The 3,539-nt window shown below is 44.7% G+C and overlaps 1 pseudogene; it reads right to left on the bottom strand.

Moving 5' to 3' along the window:
- On the bottom strand, nt 1,887–2,309 carry RPL41P1 (ribosomal protein L41 pseudogene 1; annotated as a pseudogene).

Raw genomic sequence — 3,539 nt, 5'->3', positions numbered from 1 at the left:
AGCCGCTGGGAGCAAAAATGTCTGAAGAAACAGAGACAGATGTTCTTCTTCCTGTAGGATTAGGTTCAAGGTGATTCTCCCCAGAGAATGGCACATAACCCTGTGGGGGTCAAAGTGACAGCTTTAATAGGAGATTTGGCAGTATTTAGATGGAAAGATGTAGATACTAGATTTGAGGCTGCAGTGGGGCTCTCTAAGCCTGACTCTGAAAGAGGGAAACCTACACCTCTTTGGCTCCCTGTCCAGTTCCATGTAGATTCACTGGATCTCCCTGCAGAGGGCTTCAGAAGAGTGAAAGGAGGAGAAAGACTTGCCCTGGGTTGCCTGTGGCACGGGAGCCAGGGGATCCAGGGATGTTTTACTCACTCATGAGAGAGACAGCACAAAAGAGGAGAAACTGGGCCCTGGGGTTTGTGTTTGAAGCCCCATAAGCCCACCCTTGGGCAGCACAGACCTTAAAAACAGTAGGTCCTTACCAATTATATTAGCTCCTTCCTTGGGGGAAGAGGAAGAAGAAGAGACACTAAAAGTCCCCATTCCAATGTTGCTTCCCCCTGAAAAGCGGAGAGAGAACATGAGAAGGGAAATACAACTGACCCTTGAATAATCTGGGTCTGAACTCTGTGGGTCCACTTATACATGGATTTTCTACTTGTGCCACCCCTGAGAAGCAAGACCAACTCCTCCCCTTCCTCCTCCTCCTCAGCCTATTCAACGTGAAAACAACAAGGATGAAGGCCTTTATGATGATCCACTTCCACTTAATGAAGAGTAAATATATTTTATCTTCCTTATGATTTTCTTAGTAATATTCTTTTCTCTAGCTTATTTTATTGTAAGAATACAGTATATAATACATATAACATAGACATATGGGTAAATTGTTTATGTTATCAAGAAGGCTTCTGGTCAACAGTAGCCTATTAGTAGTTAAGTTTTGGGGAAGTCAAAAGTTATAAGCAGATTTTGGCGGCAGATGATGTTGGGGGTGGTACTGGTACCCCCTAACCTCCGTGTTACTCAAAAGTCAACTGCAAGTCTGCCCATTTCACATGCATTTGTCAGAAGAGGGGGGTCAGTGAAAAAACTTTTTCATTTGTAAACATAACTAATATTCTTCATTCTTGAGGGTGGAGGGCAAAGGAATTGGGGCAAGAATTTAATCCCAGCCTCCATTTTGACAATCACAGTTACCCAGCTACCATGACTTTGCAGGGAGAAATGAGAGAAACAATCAAGACCATGTCATCCCAGTCCTCTGGAGCCACCAAGCAGTAATCTTATGATTTTTCCTCTTCCACAAAGTATCAAATTGGCTTCTCCCTCATCGTACTCAGTGCCTCCCCATCCACACCCAACCCTGAGGCAGCATTCTCCATGTGGCTCCAATTCAGGTCAAACTTCATCCCACACTGGTGATTTCTGTTGGCTTGGTCCCTGGAGGAGGGAACATGGTAACAGTAGTTTTGTGGCTTGCACTATTTATGTTATGAATAAAGCACTTACATGCCTAATCCCTTTTAGGCCTAGCCAATTGTCTTTCCGGCCTAAGGTACCATTTGTATCACTGCCTATATGTCCCAAAAGCAATAAAAATCCTTGCCCAGTTTTCTGAGTCAACTGACTACTGGGACCAATACTGCCTGAACAGCTTTCCTACTGTATATACTTCTTTGGATCTGTCGCAGACACAGTCATATGTGTGGCTGCAAGTCGTAGGTTGTGTTTGTGTATGGGTGATGAATGTGACTGTCTCCATTGGAAGTGTGGCTACAACCAAGCTCAGGATAAGAACACCAGCTAGATGAACAAACAAGCTAAGCTGACCCCTGTTGGCAAAACAGCCACCACTCAGCTCACTCCTTCCCTCCCTTTTCTTTTTTTTTTTTTTTTTTTCAGCTAAAAGAGCAGAAGAGGTGATTTATTATATGGTTGTTACACTCGGCCACAAATAAACACAGAAATAGTCCAGAGTGTCACAGGTCCAGGGCAGAGGACCAACATGGGCATTTTGTTTATGAGCAAGGTGGGTCTCAGAGGTGATCGGCGATCAGAGGGCGATGAAGTTCTAGATCCATTGAGACAAGCTCTAGACAGTAGCATGCAGTCCCACAACTTGTACCAGCATCCCCAGCGTCTGGCATTCCATGTTTCTGCTCCTGTGGCCTCCACGGTGCAACAAGCTAGCGGTTTACTTGGACCTCTGCCTCATCTTTCTTCTTTTGCGCTTCAGCCTGCGCATTCGCTTCTTCCTCCACTTGGCTCTCATGGCGCAGAGGTTTCCAAAAAAATGGCGCTAAGGCTGAGAGCCCTTCCCTCCCTTTTTGACATGTCCAAACACTTTCACTGTTGCCTTCACTGAGGTGCCAATCCTTAGATGTGGTTGATACATGGAGCTGGGGAGTCTTAAATAGGACTTAATTTCAAAAGACCTGGTTCAAATTCTGGTTCTGCACTTAATAGGCATGTCACCTTGAGTAAATCATTCTTAGTCTCAGATTTATAATCTACAAGACGAGAATTTATTCTTTAAAAACAGGGGGTGGGGGTAGAGACAGAGTCTTGCTCTGTCACCCAGGCTGGAATGCAGTGGCACAATCAAAGCTCACTGCAGCCTCCAACTCCTGGGCTCAAGCAGCCCTCCTACCTCAGCCTACTTAGTAGCTGGGACCACAGGCATTTGCCCCTATAGCAGGCTAATTTCTTTATTTTTATTTCCTTGTAGAGATGTGGGTTTCACCATGTTGCCCAGGCTGGTCTTGAACTACTGGCCTCAAGTGATCCTCCCACCTCGGCCTCCCAAAGTGCTAGGATTACAGGTGTGAGCCACTGTGCCCAGCCTTCTAAAAGTTGTATGTGTGAATCCAGCTATGGTGGGCTAGCTTAGAATAAACCAAACCCTCTATCCAGAACAACTAGAAAACTTGGAAAACAAATCATGAAAAATACCTGTTTGGAGATATCAGAGTACTGTGAAGGCTGCTTGAATCTGAAGAGCCATGATCCAAGACAGAAGAAAAAAGTCCAGCCTTTCTCCTTGAGAGACTGACGGATTCCAAAGCAGCAGCCTAGGGACCTAGAAACTGAAGGGGAGGAGAACAGAGAAGGAAGTGACAGCTCCAAAAGTCTGAGATATACTAGGCATAGCTTTAAGCAGTCTCACAAAGCTGGGTGGGAGGAACAAAAATTAGAACTCAGAGCCTGACAAAGAAGAGAAGCTCTGGAAAACACCACAGGCTTTGGGTTGGGACTGTCACAGGGATGAACCCTAGGAGTAAGGCAAACTAGAATTAAACAAGCCATGACAAACACTGGCTCACCTCCTGGGGCTAGACTGATGATCTCTCCTTCCATCACAGCCTGCCTGAAGCACAAGTAAACCCTATCTACAGGAAGATACGACTGTCCAGAACCTCCAATTATCACTAAAATATATTATATATAATATCTGGTATTTAATAAAAAATACCAGGCATACCAGGAGATAAGACAAAATGACAATATAGAAGTTTAAAGAACAGTCTTATAGAATGTAATGT

The sequence above is a fragment of the Homo sapiens genome, chromosome 20 (assembly GCF_000001405.40).
Source record: "Homo sapiens chromosome 20, GRCh38.p14 Primary Assembly".
NCBI lineage: Eukaryota > Metazoa > Chordata > Mammalia > Primates > Hominidae > Homo > Homo sapiens.
This window is presented reverse-complemented; position numbering and strand designations above follow the sequence as displayed.